This window comes from Homo sapiens, chromosome 17, assembly GCF_000001405.40.
Source record: "Homo sapiens chromosome 17, GRCh38.p14 Primary Assembly".
Taxonomy (NCBI): Eukaryota; Metazoa; Chordata; class Mammalia; order Primates; family Hominidae; genus Homo; species Homo sapiens.
This window is the reverse complement of record NC_000017.11, coordinates 60,158,962-60,183,017: the sequence shown is the minus strand read 5'-3', so window position 1 is coordinate 60,183,017 and position 24,056 is coordinate 60,158,962. Positions and strand designations below refer to the sequence as shown.

The 24,056-nt window shown below is 48.6% G+C and overlaps 2 protein-coding genes and 1 pseudogene across 24 annotated transcripts in view, besides 2 other annotated features; 1 reads left to right on the top strand and 2 right to left on the bottom strand.

Annotated features, from left to right (window-relative positions):
• USP32 (ubiquitin specific peptidase 32) overlaps window positions 1-5,691 on the top strand; it is a 245,090-nt gene extending 239,399 nt beyond the window's left edge. For all 13 annotated transcript variants that reach the window (XM_011525372.2, XM_011525371.2, XM_011525376.2 and 10 more), the window contains 3 exons: window positions 1,270-1,694; window positions 2,381-2,473; window positions 3,590-5,691. In XM_011525372.2, coding sequence (XP_011523674.1) covers window positions 1,270-1,694; window positions 2,381-2,473; window positions 3,590-3,763 — 692 coding nt within the window. In that variant the 3' untranslated portion in view covers window positions 3,764-5,691. The remainder of the gene's footprint in view (window positions 1-1,269; window positions 1,695-2,380; window positions 2,474-3,589) is intronic.
• Window positions 3,997-24,056, bottom strand: part of CA4 (carbonic anhydrase 4) — a 29,049-nt gene continuing 8,989 nt past the window's right edge. For 3 of the 11 annotated variants that reach the window (XM_005257639.4, NM_000717.5, XM_011525183.3), the window contains exon 8: window positions 23,472-23,788. In XM_005257639.4, the coding sequence (XP_005257696.1) occupies window positions 23,594-23,788 (195 nt within the window). In that variant the 3' untranslated portion in view covers window positions 23,472-23,593. Of the gene's footprint in view, window positions 4,735-4,828; window positions 6,658-10,992; window positions 12,468-16,007; window positions 17,070-23,471; window positions 23,789-24,056 lie in introns of those variants that run through there. The other 8 variants (XM_047436652.1, XM_047436655.1, XM_047436651.1 and 5 more) reach the window with 5 other exon arrangements.
• Window positions 7,449-9,739, bottom strand: FAM106DP (family with sequence similarity 106 member D, pseudogene; annotated as a pseudogene).
• Window positions 16,727-16,806: an enhancer, noted in NCBI's record as "active region_12527". NCBI's record gives its function as "activates an Ori minimal core promoter by ATAC-STARR-seq in GM12878 lymphoblastoid cells {active_cell/tissue: GM12878}" and the evidence as "EXISTENCE:reporter gene assay evidence [ECO:0000049][PMID:35858748]".
• Window positions 21,116-21,410: a silencer, noted in NCBI's record as "tiled region #8996; HepG2 Repressive non-DNase unmatched - State 20:ReprD". NCBI's record gives its function as "represses a minimal TATA promoter and a strong SV40 promoter by Sharpr-MPRA in HepG2 cells {active_cell/tissue: HepG2}" and the evidence as "EXISTENCE:reporter gene assay evidence [ECO:0000049][PMID:27701403]".

The following is a 24,056-nucleotide window of genomic DNA, read 5'->3' as shown; positions in this document are numbered from 1 at the left end:
TTTAGCAAGAGGTTCAGCCTCCCTGAATCTATTTTCTCATCTGTAAAATGGAGATAATGCCAGGTTTACAGAGTTGAGAGTGACACATGGAGAGTAAAGCACTTCACACAGTGCCTGATATACGGTAAACAGGAATGGTAGCTGCTGTCTTGTCCCCTTATAGCAAAAGTTCTGAGGTTCCCCATCTTTCAGGGGGTCTAGAGGATCAAAACTCTTTTTTTTTTAATTTATTTTATTTTTTATTTTTTTGAGACAGGGTCTCACTCTGTCACCCAGGCTGGAGTGCAGTGGTGCAACACAGATCACAGCTCACTGCAGCCTCTACCTCCTGGGGTCAATCAATCCTCCCACCTCAGCCTCCTGAGTAGCTGGGACTACAGGCATGCACCACTGCACCTGGCTAATTTTTGTATTTTTTGTAGAGATGGTGCTTTGCCATATTTCCCAGGCTGGGCTCGAACTCCTGTGCCCAAGTGAACCTCCTGCTTCAGCCTCTTAAAGTGCTGGGATTACAGGTGTGAGCCACTGTGCCTTGCCCAAAACTATTTTCATAAAAATACTAAGACAATATGTGCCTTTTCACTTTTATTCTCTCACAAATGTACAATGGTGTGAGAGATAACATGACATGGAATAATATCGTCACTTTGACAGTGAAGTCTGTGCTAATGTATTGTACTTTTTCATTCCTTAGTTTTAATTTCTAATACGGGAAATATTGATAGATAAAATTCACATAAAAGTTCTAAAGGTTCTCAATAATTTTTAAAGGTATAAAAGGGGCTATGGGTAAGAGGCTATAACCAAAAAGTTTAAAGCCTTACAGGATTTTTGTGAGACATAGAGGTAACAATGGACAGCAACAAATTCCCAGTACCATGCCTAACAATAGGAAGTACTCAGTAAATGGTGGTCACATTTTTTGTCTAATTTTACAAAGGAGAGGAATATGTATTTGGAAAACTCCTTACTCTAATAGTTAGATTTTTTTCAACTGAATCTGACATAAATCATCTTTCTGCTATTTTCTGAGTCCCTATAATGTACTTTACATTTTGAGGACATTGTTGCTTATAGGGACTTGGCATTGAAGAAGACAAAAATGTAACTTACTGGCTACATAATAGGAACTAAAGAGTAGCCAGTCACGACTGCCCTGTCTTTACCTTTGTGTGTACAGTTGTGAAGCTAACCTCAGAGGTAGCATTTGGGGCTGGCTTACTTTGTGGCATTTGAATTTGTGAATCTTTTCTTCTGTCCTGTTCACAGGTTCTCCTTCTTCATCAAGAAAAAGTGGAACCAGCTGTCCCTCCAGCAAAAACAGCAGCCCTAATAGCAGCCCACGGACTTTGGGGAGGAGCAAAGGGAGGCTCCGGCTGCCCCAGATTGGCAGCAAAAATAAACTGTCAAGTAGTAAAGAGAACTTGGATGCCAGCAAAGAAAATGGGGCTGGGCAGATATGTGAGCTGGCTGACGCCTTGAGTCGAGGGCATGTGCTGGGGGGCAGCCAACCAGAGTTGGTCACTCCTCAGGACCATGAGGTAGCTTTGGCCAATGGATTCCTTTATGAGCATGAAGCATGTGGCAATGGCTACAGCAATGGTCAGCTTGGAAACCACAGTGAAGAAGACAGCACTGATGACCAAAGAGAAGATACTCGTATTAAGCCTATTTATAATCTATATGCAATTTCGGTAAGTGGTTTATTATATGGTTTTCAGAGAGTGGTCTGTGTTTTGTTCACTTGTCTTCATGTATTCATCAGCAAGTATTTTTTTCAGGTCCTGCTTATTTCCTAGCATTGAGCTTAGTGATAGACAAAGTTAACACAGAAATCTTGGCCTGCCCAGGTGTGGTGACTCACACCTGTAATCAATCCCAGCACTTTAGAAGGCTGAGGCAGGAGGATCACTTGAGCCCAGGAGTTTGAGACCAGCCTGGCCCCATCTCTAGAAATAATTTTAAAATGGAGCAAGGTATGGTGGCATGTGCCTGTGGTCCCAGCTACTTGGAAGGCTGAGGCAGAAGGATCACCTGAGCCCAGGAGGTCAAGTCTTTAGAGAGTTGTGATCACTCGACTGCACCCCAGCCTGGGTGATAGAGCAAGTCCCTGTCTCAAAATAATAATAATAATAATAATAATAATAATAGTAATTACAATTATAAAATGATTGTTTATCCACACAAGACTTAGAGCTTATGACTTTTGTATTTTGCTTTTTGCTTATTTTGGTTTTAGAAAAAGTTAGAGGGTTCTAAAATATTTTTTCACCTACTGATCATTTACATGATCAGTGTTCTCCTGCTCAGATCCTAGTGCTATACCCTGGCCATAGTACAGTTAACTGCTAACATACCTCCACTCTCTTATCTCTTACAGTGCCATTCAGGAATTCTGGGTGGGGGCCATTACGTCACTTATGCCAAAAACCCAAACTGCAAGTGGTACTGTTACAATGACAGCAGCTGTAAGGTAAACATTCTCAGTCTTTGAATGAAAGTTAGAAACAGAATATCAACAGAACTGGGGAACATTTGTTGAAATAATGGACTATCTCTTGAATAGGAAATAGATATTTCTGTTAGAATCAATATATAGATGCTGTCAGTATTAAAGGAACAAAAGTTATATGCAGAGTAGGGAATGAAAACATGAGTAGTGAGGAAAAATAAAGAGTTAGTTGACTGGGTGCAGTGGCTCATGCCTGTAATCCCAGCACCTTGGGAGGCTGAGGCAGGCTTAGGAGGTGGATCACTTGATGTCAGGAGTTCAAGACCAGACTGGCCAACATGGTGAAACCCCATCTCTACTAAAAATACAAAAATTAGTTGGGCGTGTTGGCGCGTGCCTCTAATCCCAGCTACTCGGGAGGCTGAGGCAGGAGAATGGCTTAAACCTGGGAGGTGGAGGTTGCAGTGAGCCAAGACTGCGCCACTGCACTCCAGCCTGGGCAACAGAGCAAGACTCTGTCTCAAGAAAAAAAAAAAACAGGAGTTAGTTAATGCAAAAACTCCTATCTTCTAGACTGTTAGAATTTGATGGGGTTGGGCCGAACACGGTGGCTCACGCCTGTAATCCCAGCACTTTGGGAGGCCAAGGCAGGCGGATCATGAGGTCAGGAGATCGAGACCATCCTGGCTAATATGGTGAAACCCCGCCTTTACTAAAAGTACAAAAAATTAGCCAGGCGTGGTGGCACGCACCTGTAGTCCCAGCTACTCGGGAGGCTGAGGCAGCAGAATCGCTTGAACCCAGGAGGCAGAGGTTGCAGTGAGCTGAGATCGCACCAGTGCACACCAGCCTGGTGACAGAGCGAGACTCCATCTCAAAAAAATAAATAAATAGAATTTGATGAGGTTTTAGGTCATTCTTTTTTGACTTGTCTATGGTCAAAATATTTTCCCCAAAGCAAACATTGGAAATAATGGGGCTCATCTTAAAGGGGCAGGTGTGAGACAGCCAAACTAGTGAGCTTATTGGAAGCAATCAGGTTTAGTAATTACAGAGGGTTGGTCTTCCCTTTCCTGGCAAGGATTTAGAGCCATAGTAGTGATGGCTTTTTGTTAAAGGTTTTTCTTGCCCTTTCAGGAACTTCACCCGGATGAAATTGACACCGACTCTGCCTACATTCTTTTCTATGAGCAGCAGGGGATAGACTATGCACAATTTCTGCCAAAGACTGATGGCAAAAAGATGGCAGACACAAGCAGTATGGATGAAGACTTTGAGTCTGATTACAAAAAGTACTGTGTGTTACAGTAAAGCTACCACTCTGGCTGCTAGACAGCTTGGCGGTGAGGGAGATGACTCCTTGTAGCTGACATTTGGCAAAAGCGTCACTGAAAGGCAAGCTAAATGTAGTTATTTTATCCTGTGGCCCTGAAGCACAAAATAAAAATTCTAATTAAAATAGTTAACTTTAAGAGTAGTAATCATTTTATTTTGAAGTCTCATACAAGCTCTCCGATAGAGAACTTTCAGGCAGATCCCACCATTAGCCTGTAAACAAAAGGTTTGGCACCAGCCACCTGGGACCAAATAAGAATTCAATTGTGCTTGTCCAGATATGAACAAATATGTAGTGAGTATAGAGTTTACCATAATCATAACAAATATTAAAGATTTCCTTGGAGTCAGAGTAAAAAACAAACAATTATAATGTTGTCTAGGGACGACATGATATGCTACCTCCTTTTTCCTGAAGTTTTATTCCATTATATTGACAAGATGGAGAAAGCAAGATCACGAAGGTGTGCAAATGATTCTTAAGGCATGGACGAGGATTTTTCAATTTATTTTTTAAACTGTTTCCATACCCTTTCTTTGTCTTTCTTGCTTTTTGTTTTTGCCGTTGTATTTATGTTTGAGACACAACCAGTCATTGGTGGCAGGGGCATATAGTGGTCAGTCTGAAAGGGAGGCTCTCTTAAGAGCTGTGTGCCTTCCACCCAGAGCCTTGTGGGAGACCCAGTAGAAAGAAACAGCATCCTGGGAAATCCAGCTACCATGGCCCTCCCAGTGGAGGCATCTTACATTTAGGATACTTCAAGTATCCTCAGAAATGTATTCTGCACCCCCGGCCCCACCCATGCTGAGGGAAGGGGAGCAGTTGCCAATATTTGCACCATCTTCACATGCACCTGTTGCAACAAGAGCTTCTGGGAAGGTAAGTGGCATTGGAGCTAGATCACGTTTCACAATTAGTGGTTGTTCTTTTCTGTGTTTGTCTTGCACTTTAAAAAAGAGAGAACACATGCAAATGAACTTGCTTGTGTGTATTTGATGGCTCTAAGGGCTATAAATTACAAACAAAACACATCCCAGACATTAGGAGTTCATAAGTGTATTTAATGAAATTGGTGGTTTTAGGAAGTCAACTTTAGTTTTGCTTTGTTTGCATGTCCACTAATTTTTTTATTTTGATATTTGTCTTTTTTTTAAATTTTACAGTAGTCATCGAAAGTTATGTTTCTTTGCTTACTTCATTTTTTTCTCTAATCAAGACTGGAACAAAAGTATAAATATTATTTATTTCAGGTAGCATTTTTTTCGTGTAGTTTTTTAATATATACTTGAAGGAAATGTTTCACCTTATTTTTGGTCTTTGTTTATTCATTTAGACCCTGCAAGTTGATTCTCATTAATTGTCAGATTCCACTACCCTTTCTTCCTCATAGATAGTAATTACCAATGTAACTAAGTATTTGTGTTCTGATATCTGAGGCCAGTAACTATTAATATCTAGTTCTCAGAGCATTTGGAAAGGTTATCTTAAATGGCTACCTAAATTGAAATCCTTTTCAGAAAAAATATAATTGCAAGTAGGTAGGACTGGCCTAAATTGTCTAATGTAATAAAGTCAGACAAAATGCATACTTTATAGTTTCAAGATTTTCAGTATATAAAATCTGTCCATTCCCATTAAAAAGTGGAAGATTTTAAATAATTTCTTTACAGATGTTTTATTTAAGCAGGTAGCTCAATCTACTAATGTTGTTTGATCTGTGTTTGTTATACTGGTTGTAATTAATTTTTTTAATTCATGAACTAGCAGAAAATTTATTAAATTAACTATTAACTACATTCACCTTGTAAATTACTGTATAAAACTTGTTGACAATGCACTGACTTTAGAAAGATGTTAATGTACATAAATAGAGTGTAAATAAAATAGTGTTGATGTACCGAAATATGAACTGTATAAAAAGTATTGGTAATTGTATATGGGGTGTACCTGTTTATCTGTAACTAGTATACAAACAAATTAAATACTGTGGATGCCTCCATGTGCCGTTTTTCCTCATACAAGTAAACACAGAAAGACAAATTCTTCAGCCTCCCTCTCTGTGATCCTGTTTTAATTCTCCTACTTGAATAATTTCTTTCTGACTTACAGAGGGGATGCTTCATCTCTGAGGTTGGAAACTCTGTAGAGCAGGATTCCCAAACTCCTGGGCTACAGACCAGTACCATCTGTGGCCTGTTAGGAACTGGGCTGCACAGCAGGAGGTGAGCGGCAAGCTGTATTTAGAGCCGCTCCCCCTTGCTCCCATTACCACCTGAGCTCTGCCTCTGTTAGATCAGCAGCGGCATGCCATTCTCACAGGAGAACGAACCCTATTGTGAACTGTGCCTGCTAGCAATCTAGGTTGTGTGCTCCTTATGAGAATCTAATGCCTGATGATTTGAGGTGGAGCAGTTTTATCCTGAAACCACTCCCCCCATCCCCCAGTCCGTGGAAAAATTGTCTTCCACAACACCAGTCCCTGGTGCCAAAAAGGTTGGCAACCACTGATGTAGAGTGTAGAACAAGATCCCTCCAGTGACCAGGTGACTTTAAACATGGCTCACATCCCTTTTAGAAAGTTATGGCAGGGAAGCAAGTAGAGAGCAGGTGGTAAACTGAGGATTGGTGCCTACATTGGTACCTACAGTGGGTCCTACGGTCATTTTTGTGCAGATCAGGAGATGAGGTGAAGAGAAGGAAAGCTCATTTGCATAATGCCTTGAAATGACCCTAGGTTTCTAGGGAGCACCGAGAAACCAGAGATGTCCCTAGTCGTCTGTCTGGGAGATCCAAGGAGACAGTTGGCAGTGTTGAGAAGAGATGAAGGTGACAGCTGTAGGTCCTTCACCCTCAGCTTCTATTTGTTCACCTATAAAATTAAAATACCGAACACTCAGGCTTGTAAGAATTAAATGAAGGACACAAATGCCTGGCACAGTTGCTTGGTAAGTGCTCAATCCAACGATACTCAATCCTATTTTACAAAGAGGGTTTTTTTTGTTTGTTTTGTTGTTTGTTTTTTTACCTCCTTGCTATTCTGATGCTAAAAGAGTTTAATAGTCCTCTGTTCACATTTTCCAAAAACGAGAATACACATTAAAAATGCATAAAATGGACCAGGCGCAGTGGCTCACGCCTGTAATCCCAGCACTTTGGAAGGCCAAAGCAGGTGGATCACCTAAGGTTGAGAGTTCAAGACCAGCCTGACCAACATGGAGAAACCCCGTCTCTACTAAAAATACAAAATTAGCCGGGCGTGGTGGTACATGCCTGTAATCCCAGCTACTTGGGAGGCTGAGGCAGGAGAATTGCTTGAACCCGGGAGGCAGAGGCTGCAGTGAGCTGAGATCACGCCATTGCACTCCAGCCTGGGAAACGAGCGAAACTCCGTCTCAAAAAAAAAAAAAAAATGTATAAAATGAAACATGTTCAATCAGCAGCAGTGGCAGCTTGTTTAAGGAAAGGAACAAACAGAAAATTAATACAGAAAGTCAAAAAATGAAGCACAACTCTTTTAAGTGCCAGTCTGTTTTTAGGTTTCCTTTTTTTTTTTTTTTTTTTGAGACGGAGTTTCACTCTGTCGCCCAGGCTGGAGTGCAGTGGCGCAATCTCGGCTCACTGCAAACTCCAACTCCTAGGTTCACACTTTTTTTTTTTTTTAAATAGAGACAGGGTCTCTGTTGCCCAGGCTGGAATGCAGTGAGGTAATCATGGCTCACTGCAGCCTCAACCTCCCAGGCTCAAGCAATCCTCCCACCTCAGCCTCCCCAGTAGCTGGGACCACAGATGTGCGCCACCACACCCAGCTAATTTTTGTATTTTTTGTAGAGATGGGGTTTCACCATGTTGCCCAGGCTGGTCTCGAACTCCTCGGCTTAAGCTATCTGCCCACCTCAGCTTCCCAAAGTGCAGGGATTACAAGTGTGAGCTGCCATGGCTGGCCAAGGCTGTCTTTTAAAAAGCTAAAAATGGGCTGGTTCAAGACCAGTCTGAGCAATATGGTGAGACCTCATTTCTACTAAAAAAAAAAAAAAAAAAAATCAGCTGGGTGTGGTGGCCCATGCCTGTAGTCATCCCAGCTACTCGGGAGGCTGAGGTGGGAGGATCGCTCGAACCCAGAAGGTTGAGGTTGCCTTGATTGTGCCACTGCATTCCAGCCTGGGTGACAGTGAGACCTTGTCTCAAAAAGCCTCGGAAGGACTGGCCTAGGGAGATGGGCAAGCATTTTGTTTCTAGTTTCTGAATGGCCCTATGCGTTGAGAGAGGTCTTCGGCCTCCCAGCCTCCCTGGCTGAAGGTGGTGAGTCTGCATGGAGTCTCTCCACCACTTGGTGGCATTGCTCACAGTGACTTCTTACTTCTAAACACCATTGAATTGGAGCAAGTAGATGATTTGCCACATTTTTCCCAGCTAGTTTGGAGGCTGAGTACAGAATTTTACTGGGACACACCAGAATGTGTAAGTTGGGGAGTGGCGATCCCAGTTTCTCTTGATAATGTACCAACGGCTTCCTTAGTATTGAAATCACAAAGACAGAAATGCACACACCTCTATGATCAGAGATCCATACAGGAGAGAGCAACAAAAAGAGGCCTTTTAAGTTTGCCAGACTTCCTGACCAGTGGGAAGCAAGAGAGTAGATAAGTGTGCAGCAGTCACAAACCCAGGCCTATAAGAACCTGGTTGGGAATAGAATGTAAGAGAATGGGGAGCGATGGGGACTCTAGTGTGTTCTAGGCACATGCCCATCTAAAGGCTCCATGTGACTGTTGTCCTGCAGGAATGTGGGCCCCAGTGTTCACCAAACCTTTTGTTTTGTTTTGTTTTTCCCATGAAGAGAAGCCAGAAACCCAGATATTAATACAAAGTATCCAGTTTAGAAGTGTTGGTAAATTTTTTTAACTTTGAACATTGTGCTGCCCAAAGAAGGTATCTGCAAGCCAGGTACAAACCAGCAGTTCATGCCCTCTGGTGAGCAGAAAGGTCATAGACTTTGAGCCCATTATGTCGGAGGTCACATTCTAGTTCTGCTGTTGCAACAGCTGTAAACGAAAGTTTTCAGATTTCTAACGCCCAGTGAAAATACCACTTCATTTCCAAAGGTTATTAAAAGGAATAGATCATGTATGTAAGTAGGCACAGAGCTTGCCACCTATTAGGTACTCAAAAGCATTCTTCCCTCACTTAAGGAAACAATACAGGCATAATATAACAATAATGTTATGTTCAAGTTCATTATCAGGAGGCATACACCCAAACAATAGGGGAGTGAGCACCTACCACGTACAGAGCTCTCTGCTAGTTTCTCTGGGGGCAACAGTTCCCAACCTGGCAATTCATCGGCATCATCGGAATCAGCCAGCAGCTTGTTGGATATGCTGAGTCCAGAGTCCTGCCCATATTACACCTAATGTTCTGTGCCTATTACACCCAGATTTATGAGATCCTCCTCTCCCATGCAGTCCAAGAATCTGCATTCTAATAAGTTCCTCAGAGGAAGCTCTTTCACAGCCAGTTTGCACTGGTCTGTGGGTTGGTCATTTATGGAAACCACTGCTCCAGGGAATGAATCATTATTTCCAGTCTCATTAGGGAAAGATGATATGCATATGCACACATGTAAGGAGTGACAGTAATTAGCCAAAAGCTCTGTAGACATAATTGCCTCTGATGAAGTGCTGACTGATGACATCAGACACTAGGCTATTGACAGTGTACCCCAGGGAAATGCAAAAGGGAAGCGAACTGCCTCATAAAGTGAGATTAGGATTACTGGGTCAGAAATGTGGAGAGGGTGATTCAGATGGACAAAGGAGCAGAGGCAGGATTCAAGTGATGCGTTTCAGAGGCAGTGCAGCCTGTTTGTGCTGAGTGGAAGGTGCATGAGGAACATAGTAGACTGTAACAGGAAGGCAGGAGCTGTGAAGGCCTTTGAAGGTCAGGCCAGTTGTAATAAAAGTATTTCACATTGTCAGGTATCTTGGGATAGTTGCCAAACATTTTTCTATGGTTTGTATAAATACATATCCATTTTATTTATGTATTTATTTATTTTAGTTTTTTTGTTTGTTTGTTTGTTTGTTTTTGAGACGGAGTTTCGCTCTTGTTGCCCAGGCTGGAGTGCAATGGAGCGATCCCAGCTCACTACAACCTCCGCCTCTCAGGTTCAAGCAATTCTCCTGCCTCAGCCTCCTGAGTAGCTGGGATTACAGGCATGAGCCACCACACCCAGCTAATTTTGTATTTTTAGTAGAGATGGGGTTTCTCCATGTTGGTCAGGCTCGTCTTGAACTCCCAGCCTCAGGTGATCCACCCACCTCGGCCTCCCAAAGTGCTGGGATTACAGGCGTGAGCCACTGTGCCCGGCCTATTTTAGTTTTTTTTTGAGACGGAGTTTCACTCTTGTCGCCCAGGCTGGAGTGAAGTGGCACTATCTCGGCTCACTGAAACCTCCACCTCCCGGATTCAAGTGATTCTCCTGCCTCAGCCTGCCAAGTAGTTGGGATTGCAGCCGCACGCCACCACACCTGGCTAATTTTTGTATTTTCAGTAGAGACGGGTTTTCACCATGTTGGCCAGGCTGGTCTCGAATTCCTGACCTCAGGTGATCCACCCGCCTCAGCCTCCCAAAGTGCTGGGAATACAGGTGTGAGCCACCACACGGCACATATGTATCTATTTTAGACCATTTTATTATAAACATAAGTTCTGTTTGCTGTAATTTCTCTCTTTTTCATATTCACAATCCACTTTGGCTGGAATTTCTCTTGATAACAAACTTTAGACCTTACCAACAAGCCCAAGAGGAACTCACAGATGGGTGCTAGGCTTGAAATGCCCCAAGAAGACTGAAGGAAGTGGAGGAGGAAGAAAAAAGGAGGCAGAAGGGGGAAAACCTAGAAGAGCTCTGGACAGGGAGGAGGCATGCCAGAGAGAGGAGCCCAGTCACAGCTGAGTGCAGCCCAGGAAGGAAAAATGTGCCTGGTTGGAGGAGTTGTCCAAGGACCTTGGGGATAAGGGGACGGGGCTTCTCTGCTGATCTGATGGTTTTTTCAGTACCACCCTTCAGTTATCTGTAGCAGGATCCTCTGCTGCTGATGGCCAAACCTCAGTGCCCACTGGGATTACAAACTGGGGAGGAAGAGGGGGACTTCCACATTAGGGATCAGCAGGGAGCCTCCAGAATGGAGTAGGAGATACCTACGGCCATCATCAGAGGCTGCCGCAGCCCCAGGTTCAGAGCAGTCATCTTAGCTGATGCCATGGAAAGCAGTAGACCAGAAGTCCAGTCCGCAGTGTTTGCTCAGCACTTGGCAGAATTGTATGACCTTGGGGGTCACTTGCCTTGTCCGCGCCTCGGTTCCCCCTGTGAATATTGAGCGAGTTGCATTAGGTCAGTTGTCTTCAGCTTTTATTTTGAAACAACATTGAGACCCGACCCTTTCTTCCAGCCATTCCAGCCACATTTACCTGAAGGACCCATAGCTAAAGCAGATGAGGTTGGAGTTACTCCGGTTGAAGTGACAGTGGGGGGTGTAGTGCTGCCTGGGCAACCGCTGTGGATTGGATGTCTGCTAAAGCACCTGTCACCTCTAAGCATTCAGAAAGCCAAGCACACAGTGCTCCAGTAGGGTCTGAGGAGCTCCCAGAGAATTGTCTCCAGCAAGAGGAGTTGACAGTGCTCCCAGGAGAACACTCTCATTTGGTCTGCTAGAAATCATGGCCACAGGGTGGGCCTTTTCAAAGGCCATTTTGCTACTCAGTATACTGGGTAGCCAGCTAGAGTGAAGAAGCCACAGGGAGTGCCCGGAGCAGTCAGCCTGCTGCCTGGCCTCTGTTCCCTGGACATCCATAGGGAGCAGCCCCAGGGCCTGTGGCCTTTCATTGTTGTGCCAGCTGGAGAAAGTTACTGCTGCCAATCCTTGTTTGCAGAGCTCTCTGCAGCACAGAGCTGCAAATAAACATCCTCTCACTTGGGGAGGGATGGGGGAAAGGAGAGGGCTAAATCATCCAAAACACGTTCATTGAGTATCTACCACTTAGCTTAAAGGATAGTCCTGAGCTTGGAACCAGAAGAAACGCTGGAGATGGGCTTAGACATTTACTGGACTTCTATCTGCCAAACCCCATGCTATGCATGTTTCACTCGTGATTCGTAAATGCTCACCACAGCTCTATGAGGGATGCATGATCACCCTTTTTTCTAGATCAGGAAGCTGAGGCTCAATCAGGTTAAGTCACTTGCCTGTGGTGTCACACAGATGGAACATTTCTGAGCAGGATTCAAACCCAGGTTCATCCAGCTGCTTCTTTACCACCCTACCTCCCCCTGAACTGGAGTCTGTGATCCACCACTTAGCAACTCCTGGCACAACGGTAGTCACCCTGAGCCTCAGTGGGCTCATCTTTGACAAGGGATCAGGGTACCATGACCATAGCTACCTGAGAGGCTTGTAATAAGCCCTGAATAAGAAAGTGAGTGTGGAACCCTTTACAACCAAGGACACTTGTGCAAATGCAGTGTGTTGTTACGTAAGGAGAGGAAGTGGGTGTCCCCAAAGCAGCTCCTCCTCCTCTTCCTGGAAGATGATGTAAATAAAGAGTCATGCAGGCCTCTTGATGGAGAGTGATGTCTTAGGTTTGTTCTATTCGCTTCTGATGGCCCAGGGACCTTAGCAGCTGGATAGAAAGAAGAATTGAGGGGGATTAGATGGGGAGATAGGACCAGGGAGAGAGAAAGGATTCTGGATTGAGTCAAGCAAAGACTGTAGTTCCAAACTGGACTTTGGAGTATCTGATAGTATCTTATCAGAGATTTAACATGGGTGTGATCATTTCAGAGGTGGGATGGGAAGGACAGGAGTCCAATATGCTATTGTTGTAAAGGCGGCCACCAGCCACAGCAGCCATGAGAATCTCGTGCTCCCCACTGGCCCCCTGCCAGACCGGGCTACCTGACTATGCTTCATCCACTGAGGACAATGCCTTCTCCCTTAAACTGGGGCCTTTTCCTTCCTGGCCTTTCCTGGGAAAGGAGAGAACAATTGAGTCTGATCATTTATCCTCAGCTGTTTATGCCCCAGTAGCGTGGGCTTTAAACCAAATACCACATGTCCATCTGGACACCATGGCAGGCTCATCACGTGGCCGACACACTCCCTAGCTGCCTGCCCCGCTCCTGCATTCATTCAACCCTGACTCTGCAGCGTTCCAGAGCAGCCCATTGTTTTTTCCCCTGGGATTAAGAGCCCAACTCTGGTTTTCTCATCTCTCCTCTGGATGGTAGTGGAAATGTTAGGCCTCAATCCAAAACTGATATGTATTCAGAAAAAAAGAAAGAGAAAGAGAAACCAGTCAGGCCTAATTTGAACTGGGGAAATAGCCAGTGTAAATTTGGAGGAAAATTCAAACTCCATAGCTGACTTGAAAATTGTCAGCATTGGCCGGGGGCAGTGGCTCACGCCTGTAATCCCAGCACTGTGGGAGGCTGAGGCAGGTGGATCACGAGGTCAGGAGATTGAGACCATCCTGGCTAACATGGTGAAACCCCATCTCTACTAAAAATACAAAAAAATCAGCTGAGCATGGTGGCGCATGCCCGTAGTCCCAGATACTTGGGAGGCTGAGGCAGGAGAATTACTTGAACCCAGGAGGCAGAGGTTGCAGTGAGCCGAGATTGAGCCACTGCACTCCAGCCTGGTGACAGAGCAAGACTCCATCTTAAAAAAAATAAAAAAGTCAGCCTCCAGGGCCTGTACCCACCCAGATGGTACCCCCTTGGGAGGGGGCAGCATCAGCACCATGCCTGCAGAGGCTTAGGTGTAATTGTGTTTACGTTGATAGTTTATGCCTGTCTGGAGCATAGGCCAGCTCCGGCCCCACTCCCTGAAGCATCACCAAATTCCAAGCAGTAGTATCTCCATGAATCTGCGAATCTGCTGTTGCTGCTGCTGCTGCTGCTGCTGCTTTTTTTTTTTTTGAGACAGAGGGAGTCTCTCTCTGTTGCCCAGGCTGGAGTGCAGTGGCATGATCTCAACTCACTGCAACCTCCGCCTCCCAGGCTCAAGAGATTCTCCTGCCTCAGCCTCCCAAGTAGCTGGAATTACAGGCATGCACCACCATGCCCGGCTAATTTTTATATTTTTAGTAGAGATGGGGTTTCACCATGTTGGCCAGGCTGGCCCCAAACTCCTGACTTCAGGTGATCTGCCCACCTTGGCCTCCCAAACTGCTGGGATTACAGGCGCGAGTCACCGTGCCTGGTTGTGAATCTGCTTCCACACTGGCTGTGTTTTCCTGGTTATAGCAGCCTCAGGCTCAGTGAAAGGTCACTCGCTGTAATGACTCAGGTTTCATTGGTTCTCCTTTATCCCCCTGCAAAGACCCACTCTCCCTCAAAGTACTGATGGCAGCCTCCAGAGGGTATCTCAAGTGTGCTCTTCAACTAGTCCTTTCAGCTGCCACGTGGTGTCCTCTGAGAGGGACCACCCGATCTTCTGGGCACCCCTCACCCAACGTGACCACTGCCTCTAGGCATTGCCTCCCAGGCAGGACACCAGGGGCCAGAGTTGCTCACTGCTCCCTTCACACTCCACGAAGGCTTTCCCAAAGCAGAGCTGTTCGTATTTCCACAAAATCACCTTCCCCACCTCCCCACCGAAAAAAAAAAAAGAAATCACCCTTCCCCACCCCCTCCCAAAAAAATCACCCTTCCCCACCTGCCCCCCCAAAAAAAGAAATCACCCTTCCCCACCTGCCCCCCCAAAAAAAGAAATCACCCTTCCCCACCTGCCCCCCACAAAAAAAGAAATCACCCTTCCCCACCTGCCCCCCCCAAAAAAAGAAATCACCCTTCCCCACCTGCCCCCCCCAAAAAAAGAAATCACCCTTCTTCACCTCCCCCCCAAAAAATAAAAAGAAATCACCCTTCCCCACTTCCTCCCACCAAAAAAAGAAATCACCCTTCCCCACCTCCTCCTCCCCCCCGAAAAAAAGAAATCACCCTTCCCCACGCCCCCCCAAAAAATAAAAAGAAATTACCCTTCCCTTTTCCACATGCGGCTTCCATTCTCCTTATGCCCCTGGTGTGAGTCCCAGAGGCTGAGTGGTTGCCACACTGAACTCAGAGTCCCTCCTCCCCTACATCTCTACATCTCTACATCTCTACATCTCTGAAGCTTCACTTGGACCCAGCTTGTCATACCCAACCCTATTCCCTTAAGAGAGGTGTCTCGCAGGAGGCCACTGAGGCAGTAGACCCAGGCAAGTCTGTCCTGTCATGTTGTAAGCAGCTCCTGATGTGGCTTGACCTCAGGGGCTAAACGAGGATACACAGCTTCATCTAGAGTAGAATGAACCCCGATTCAATAGCCTCATGGAGACTGGGGACAGACCAGGCAGCAGAATGGAGGTGCAAAGCCACCTAGGGCTCAAGGACTGGGAAGACACATGGAGCTAGGGAATAGCAGAATCTGAGAATCAAGCACCTTGTACACCCAGATCCCACATGTGGAAACCGCTGTTCAAGCTGTAATGATACCAGGTTGACTGTGTCAGCCCCTGAAGGAAAGCTGGCATAAATAGAGCCTGGAAAACCAGGCTTATCTTTGCCCAATGGGCAAGGTAAATATTTAGTCCCAGCCCTGGAATGGTGCCTGGTAGTTCCATTCTTTGCTATCATTTTTCCTTTTATTCACTCGTGCTGCAAACATTTGCCACCTGCCCTCCCTCTCTGTGGCCAGCCTTGGCCTGGGCACTTCGATGCTCTGATGACTAAGACGTGATTCCCCATTCTTTTCCTCAGGGACTCTTGCTGGGGGAGCAGACAAGGAGCAGAGATCAGGTCAGGCCTCACAGGCTGGGTCTTGGCTAGCACGTAGACTTCACAAGAGGAAGCAAGACTGCGGGGAGTGGTGGGGGAGAGCGCTCCAGGGCTAGGGTCAGCACACATCCCAGCGTCCTTGACTGGCCTGGCGATTTCTGCACCCATGCTTCCCTGTAAGCGTCCATGTAGAAACACAGAACAAGAAACACTTGGAGGCCAGCAGCACTCAGTATAAGGGAAGCAGCAAGGACTGCTGGGTTTGCAGATCTGGGTTCAATTCCCCATTTTGTCATTCATTCGCTGGCAAGGGACAAGTTCCTTTACCTCTCAATTTTCTTCAGAAAAGCAGTACAATGTAGCAATTGTAAGTGTGCGGACTCAAGTATCAGAATTTCTGGGTTCAAATCTCAGCTCTATTTGTTTTTTGGGGGGTTTTCTTTTTGTTTTTTGAGATGGAGTCCTGCTTTGTCACCCAGGCTGGAGTACGTTGGCACCATCTCAGTTCACTGCAACCTCCACCTCCCAGGTTTAAGCAATTCTCCTGCCTCAGCCTCCAGAGTAGCTGGGATTACAGGCACATGCCACCATGCCCAGCTAATCTTTGTATTTTTAGTAGAGACAGGGTTTCGCCATGTGGCCAGGCTGGTCTCGAACTCCTGACCTCAGGTGATCCGCCCCCCCCTTGGCCTCCCAAAGTGCTGGGATTACAGGCATGAGCCACCGCACCTGGCCAAATCTCAGCTCTATTTGTTAGCCTTATGTCCTGTGTATTTCGTTTCCTCATCTGAAAATGAAGAAAATAGACATACTCATCTCTGACTGTTATTCTAAGGATTAAGTGCTATATAAAGCACAGCAAATAATTTTGCCAGATGCAATAGAAATTAGTTTCTTGAGGAATGTGTCAATATCTAGCAATTTTACATAGGCATTTACCCTTTGAACCAGAAACTTCACTTATAGAAATCTATCCTAAAGACACACAGTCAAAAATTCAAGACGGGCATGGTGGTTCATGGCTGTAATCCTAGCACTTTAGGAGACAGAGGAGAGAGGATTGCCTGAGCTCAGGAGTTTAAGACCAGCCTGGCTAAATGGCGAAACCCCGTGTCTACTAAAAATACAGAAAGTTAGCCCGGCATGGTGGCAGGTGCCTGTAATCCCAGCTACTTGGGAGGCTGAGTCAGCGAGGAGGAAATCTACAGGCAGATGGGCCTCCAATGCCCTCCCAGCTGCCCTGCCCACAGGAAGCCCAACACCAGAATCACACAGGAGGGAAAACCCCTTGATCAGTCTGTTATCAGTTACTAGAAGGTGTGCCCCATTAGGGAGGGAGGTGACCGGGAGGAGGAAGGAGTGGCAGCAGGCCTGGGCTGTCAGTCTCTTTCTCTTGCCCACCCTTCTCTCTTGGCTTCAGTCTTCCTCTTATAAGTGGGATGGAGGTAGGGTCACCAGACCTAGTAAATAAAAGTACAAGACAACCAGTTAAATTTAAATTTCAGGTAAATAACAAATAATGCTCTGGTGTAACTATGTCCCATGTAATTTAGGGATATACTAAAAAAAAAAAAAAAGAGATTTGTTATTTATCTGACATTCAGATGTAACTGGGCAGCCTGTATTTTGTCTAGGTGAACCCATCTAGACAAAACTGAAGCCAAGGGTGGGGACAGGGGCAGGCACTCATCCTGTGCTGGGGGAGCCTGCAGCAACTCTACACAGGATAGGCTTGTGGGAGGCAGAGCCAGGGACAGAGCCAGAAGCAGAGAGATGGACATGTGTGTAATCCCACGGCTCCTGGGGAAGGGGGAGAGGAAGCGTTAGAGGAAAATGAAATGGGAAATTGGTCCCCAACCCGATCAATCCCCACAGTGAGAAAGCAGGAGGAGCCCTGGCCGAGAGCCCCTTCTTTCAGGGATGTGGGCTCAGCCTGACTCTGAACTCTGCACCTGCTACCCCCTAAGGCAGGACATAAGAACTGCAGGGCAGTCCTGGGGCTCAGAGGGCCCCCTTTTCTCCCTCTGATGCTCTGGGTGACCTTAGACAATTCTAGGTGAAGGTCAGGCTGGGAGATCTTCCTCTGTAAACTGTTCTGTGTACGGTTGGGACAGAGTGCTGAGGGATGTCCCTAAGTGTCTGGGCAGAGAGGTGGCCCCTTGAAGGGTCTTAAGTTTTCTCCCTTGGATAGGAAAGAACTGCCACCAACCACAGATCAGAGTTCATTATGCATCACTCTGCATAATTCCAGCCTCCGCCCAGTGTTCCCTACTCCCCACCTGTGGGTCTTGCCTGTCCTTCATTGCCCTCTCCAATAAAAAGAATCATCATAATAATTATAAATTATTGAATATCTCCTCTTGTCCCGGCATCTTGTTTCATCTTGACAACAAGCCCATGAGGTAAATGCTGTCATCACCCCCATTTCACAGATGAGGAAACTGAGGCTCAGAAAAATGAATTAAACTACCAAGGGCACCTAGAGAGTCAGCAATGGAGGGGGATTCCACCCCAGGCCGGTGTGAGTCTGGGCTGCATGCCCGGATGTTTCTGCATTCCTCTCTTGGCTTCTGTGTCGTAAACCTGGTGCTCCTGTGCCTGCTGTGTCTGCCTGCCCTACAGTTGGGAGTCTCGGAGGAAGAGCCCAGACTAGGATTTTCCTCCCTAAATCCTCTGTCCCTGGCACAGAGGAAATAATAGTGTTTGTTGAAAGATTAAGGCCGGGCATGGTGGCTCATGCCTATAATCCCAGCACTTTGGGAGGCCGAGGCAGGTGGATCACCTGAGGTCAGGAGTTCGAGACCAGCTTGGCCAACATAGCAAAACCCCATCTCTACTAAAAATATGAAAAAAATTAGCTGCATGGTGGCATGCGCCTGTAGTACCAGCTACTCGAAAGGCTGAGGCAGGAGAATCACTTGAACTCAGGAGGCAGAGGTTGCAGTGAGCCGAAAACGTGCCACTGCACTCCAGTCTGGGCAACAGAGTGAGACTGTATAAAAAGAAAGAAAAAGAAAAAAGAAAGAAAGAAAGAAAGACAGACAGACAGACAGACTGGAGGGAGGGGAGGAGGGAAGGACAGAAGGAAGGAAGGAAGAAAGAGAAAGAAAAAGAAAGAAAGAAAGGAGGGAGGGAGGGAAGGACGGAAAGACGGAAGGAAGGAAGAAAGAAAGAGAAAGAGAAAGAGAAAGAAAGAAAAAAAGAAAGAAAGAAAGAAAAAGAGAAAGAGAGAGAGAGAGGGAGGGAGGGAGGGAGGGAGGGAGGAAGGAAGATTACGTTTGTTTTTTTTTTTCCTTTTTTGAGACAGGGTCCCTCTCTGTTGCCCAGGCTGGAGTGCAATGGTGCCTGCACTCCTGGGCTTAAGCCATCCTCCCACCTCAGCCTCTCAAGTAACTGGGACCATAGGCGTGCCACCACGTCTGGCTTCTTTTTTTCCCCCTCGTAGAGACAGGATCTCCCTAAGTTACTCAGGCTGATCTTAAACTCCCAGGCTCAAGTGATCCTCCCGCCTTGACCTCCCAAAGTGCTGGGATTACAGGTGTGAGCCACTGCGCCTGGCTGAAAGACTAAATCTTGATGGAAGATTAAATCTTGTTCCAGAATGCACCCACATCCCTTCCCTGTGTCCTGCTCCGCTGCCCTCTTCCTGTCCTCCAGGCCTTGCCGCAGCTGACACTTGGAACAACCTGAGGAGCCTCCCACGTGTCCAGCCGAGGGCTCTGCGGAAGGAACTGACTCTTCTGTCCCGCAGCTCTTCTCCAAAGGAAGCCCCTCCCTGGGCCTTGGACATCGTCCTTTGTCCCTGGGGGAAAGAATGCCTTTGTCCCTCTCAGATAAACAAACAGAGCGGCTAGGACATGTGTAGTGCGAGGTGCAGGAACAGTTCCCCAACCTCAGAGAGGCCTGGCCTTCCTTCTGAGGTCACCGGGGACAGCAGGAGCCCGGGACAGCCTTGCCCAATTAGATGGGGGGACCAAGGGTAGCCCCTTCTGCAGATGGATGAACTGAGGCCCAGAGCAGGGAGCATGCCTCCATGCCCATGGAGCCACTAGCTTCCTTGCCTCTTCCCACCCCAACACACACACAAGCTCAGAGCCTCAGGGTTGCACCACGCTGGGGGCACCGTTCACAAGGCCCTGTCGGTATAGGCGCCCCCTGGAGTTTTAAGACACGGCAGCCTGCACGAACCATGGGCAGACGTCCACACAGCCCCCACGACTCTGGGCCCCCTGTAGACCCTCCTCCGCCCCACCTTCCTCCCCCACCCCTACATTGTCAGATCAGAGCCACAGGAAGCAGGGCCAGCAAGTGTGCAAACCAAGAGCCAAGATGGGGAAGTTTATTTTCCAAGAACCATCTAAACACATGAGGAATATTTTTAGCCCCTGGCTCCCACCCGGATGCTGAATCTAAACAGGGGGCCAAAGAGGCGGCCCACTGGGGATGGAGAGCAACCAGCGGAGATGGGTGGGACGGGGTGCTGCAGCCCCCACCCTGCCCCTGGACACAGATGGCTCAGCCAAAGGAGAGAGCCGGCCAGGGGAGCCAAGGAGGCACAGGGGAGTGGCCCCAGGTTCTGACAAGTGCCCCGTCCCTCTCTGTGCCTTGGGGCTTCCTTATCCGTGCTGTGGGAGGGATAACACCACCCCAATGGGATTGCAGCACGGCCCCCACCTGGAACACGATGGGCACCCCAGAATGTGCTTTATGCTGTGCTGAGTGCCGGCCAGTGACCCTCAGAGAAGTCAGGGTGCAGGCAAAACCATCAGCCTGTGAGCCTTCCCCAGGCCTGGCCAGCTACAGTGAAGGAGTGAAGGCTGGTGTGTGTGTGTGTGTGTGTGTGTGTGTGTGTGTGTGTGTGTACCCCATGCAGTCACCCACGGGGCCTCAGAAATGAATGAAAGGAGGGCTCAGGGGCCAGGCTGGACCCTCTTTGTGAATAAGGGGGTTCTCCTCCCTCGCCCTCAGAGGGAACTGTCTCAGAAGCCAGGCCAGACTGGGCACAGGGAACTCAGAGCCACCATCCCCAGGGTGGGGGTCTGCTGGGGGTGGTGGAGGCCGCATGGAGGGAGTGAATTTACTAAAAACAGGAAGCTCGTCATGAACACACGCATGTTCACAGGAAGGAATGCCATCAGTGGCGGCCTCGGGAGGTGGGGGCCAGTGCCCGGGGTGAGCTGCCCACTTCTGCTGTGACTGGCCCTGGTGACTTGGCTGGGAGTTGAGTGCTGGCAGCACCTGCTGTGGCCTCTGGGCCGCAGGGAGGGCAGGCAGGACATGGGAGGTGGCCAGAGCCCCAGGCCCTGGACAAGCTGTGCCCGTTCTGGCTCCTGCTGGCCGGATTTATGATTTAGGGACCAGGGGGATGGGGAGGGTCGAACACCTTCTGCCTTAGGTTGGAAAGGCCAGGACTTCCTGGTCCTGCTGCCACATTATTCACTAAGGTTGCCTGGAGGGCAGGGATGGGGGTGGGGATGCAGTGCCATTGGGGAGCTGGGAGGGGCCATTCTGACCTCAGAGCCCTGATCCTTTGGGGGGCAGCTTAGATCCCCTGCAGTCTGTGTGGGAACCAAAGAACAGGTTCCAGGTTCTGCGTCCACACACCCCCCGCTGACAGGCGGCCTGCGGTTGCCATGGCAACAGCAATACCACCCCTCCCCCACAGCTGCGTGGTCACCAGGGAAGGGAGGGGGGACTTATTTTTGGTTACAAAAGGGAAGACGGAGGGAAAGGGAGGAGGGAGGGGAGCAGCCGTCTCTCCTCTCCCTGGGCTGACTGGGGGTGGTCAGGGGCATGGGGGGCTCGGGGTGAGAGAAGGCTTAGAGACCACCTTCTCCCACCAGCTCCCCTCCCACAGCCAGCGAGGGATTCTAGAACCAGGTGATGGAATCCCTCAGTGCCCTCCTGGTGGGCACGCCTTCCTGTGAGGAAGCTCTCTACCTCCGGACTCTCAGCCTGCCAAAGGGGTCCTCACCCAGCCAGGGAAACCTGGGTGCCCCATTCACTCAGCCAACCCCACTCCAAGGCTCACGAATTCCAAAATCCAGTCCTACTCCTGATGATGAGGTCTGACAGCTGCGGGCCCTCAGTTCCTGGCACCTGGGGCCTGACCTGGCTTGGGGACCGCGTGGGTCCCCTTCTTTCCTTCTCATTCTGGTGTCCTGGACCCCCTCTCACCAGCCTCCTCCCAGTCTCTCCCTCCACTTCCCTCTGGCCACAGGAGGGAAAACAACCCATTAGAGATGTAATCACCGTGGTGGTGGGGACTTTCCTGACAAGTCCCAAGGGACCAAGCCCCACACCCTTGGACACCCCCATGAGCTCTCCCTCATATCTCACTGCTAACCCATCAGCAGATCAGCTCCTGGGCACTGCGGCAGCCCCTGAACTGTCCCTGCGTTCTGCCTTCACCTCTATAGCTCCCCTCCCTGCTCCAAACCAATGCCCTCCACCTCACTCTCCTGCCTCCCCTCCCCCTGCTTCCTCCCTCCCTCCCTCCCTCTACTCCTCCCTGCTGTTTCTCTGGAAGGCTCCCTCCCTGCCGCACCTCAACATTTGCAGTCTCCAGAGGCCTCCATCTCTGGCCTCCTCCCAGCCGCCCCTTCCCCCAGGGCTTCCCACCTTCCCTGCCCTGAATTCTCTCTTTTTTTTTTTTTTTGAGACAGAGTCTCTCTCTGTCACCCAGGTTGGAGTGCAGTGGTTCAATCTTGGCTTACTGCAAACTCTGCCTCAATTCTCCTGCCTCAGCCTCCTGAATAGCTGAATTACCGGCACCCGCCACCATGCCCAGCTAATTTTTGTATTTTTAGTAAAGACGGTGTTTCGCCACGTTGGCCAGGCTGGTCTCAAACCCCTGACCTCAGGTGATCTGCCCGCCTCGGCTTCCCAAAGTGCTGGAATTACAGGCATGAGCCACTGCGCCCGGCCCCCTGCCCTGAATTCTCTTTCTCCCATGCACTCACTGCCTCCCGATCTATTAGACAACATGCCTGCTTCATTTATGGGCTGTCTCTCCACTAGACTGTGAACTCCAGGAGGGCAGGCATTTTTGTCTTTTATTCTCTGCCATATCCCCAGTGCCTAGAGCATAAACGCTCAATAAATTTTTGAGCAAACAAATGAACTTCCTTTCGCCCACCTTGCCTAGGCCATCCCCACACATGACACCCTTTCACCCCTAGCACAGGGGAGAACGCACAGGGCTGGGGCTGCCGTCATGCAGTCGGCTCTGCCCTAGCCTCAGTATATGGCCTCCAGCCAGCCAAGCAGCCTCTTCTCTCTCGCTCTGTTGCCCAGGCTGGAGTGCAGTGGCACAATCTCAGCTCACTGCAACCTTCGCCTCCTGGGTTCAAGCAATCCTCCTGCCTCAACCTCCTGAGTAGCTGGGACTACAGGTGTGCACCACCACACCTGGTTAATTTTTGTATTTTTTATAGAGACAGGGCTTCACCATGTTGCCTAGGCTGGTCTTGAACTCCAGGGCTCAAGTGATTCACGTGCCTCTGCCTCGCAACGTGCCAGGATTACAGGCGTGAATCACTATGCCCGGCCCCAACCTTGTCTTTCTCAGCCTCAGTTTCCCCCTCTATATGATGAAGAGATCAGATTGGAACTCCTCTAGCTTCCGCTGTGATGAAGCTCCAAGATGCCTTCAGCATCTCTCCAAGGTCCAGGTCCTGGTAGAAGGGAGTGGGGTATAGACACGGAATTCACATAGAACGGGAGTGGGGACACCTGGTGGTACCTGCTTGGGAGAAATCTCCTGGCCTTAAAGCCCCCGCCCTGGAACAGGAGGAACAGGGGTGGGTGGAGGGGGACAGGGTGGGGTAGTTGTGGAAGGCTAAAAACACACTTGAGAAAGGTTTCTCCAAAAATATGTCCATATTTTAATCATGCCTAAAGTCCCACCTGGGAAGGCTAAGGACCGGAAGCCTGGAACTTGGAGAGCTGAGGCAACAGAGAGGCTGCGTGCAGAAGTGAGCCATCATCGCAGGAAGCCGGCCAGCAGGCAGGCCAGCATGGGGCCCAGCAGGGCAGGCAGGGCCCAGGGCAGCGGCCGACCCGGGGCCCCGGACTTTATCACCGTGCGCTGCCCCAGCTGCTGCAGGGGCCTGACATTGTCCTTCATGCTCACTGTCTGTTCCTTGTCGTAGTACAGCTTCTGAGAGAATGCCAGGATCTGCGGAAGTGATGGGGCTCAGCAGGTCGGGGCAGGGGGAGCTGCACTCCCTGCCGTGTGACCTCAGGCAGGCACCTCATCCTGTCCTGGGAGCCCTCATTAGGAAAGAGGGGCTCTGAACCCCTGGCTCTCAAGGTGGTCGTGAAGATGATAAGAATAGGGGATGTAAATGAGGTGCGTGGCATGGGTGAAGGCTAAGTGCCCATTGGCTTCCTTTCACTCACACCCCAGGGGGCCCGCAATGCCTGCTTCTCTTGTCACTCTTACT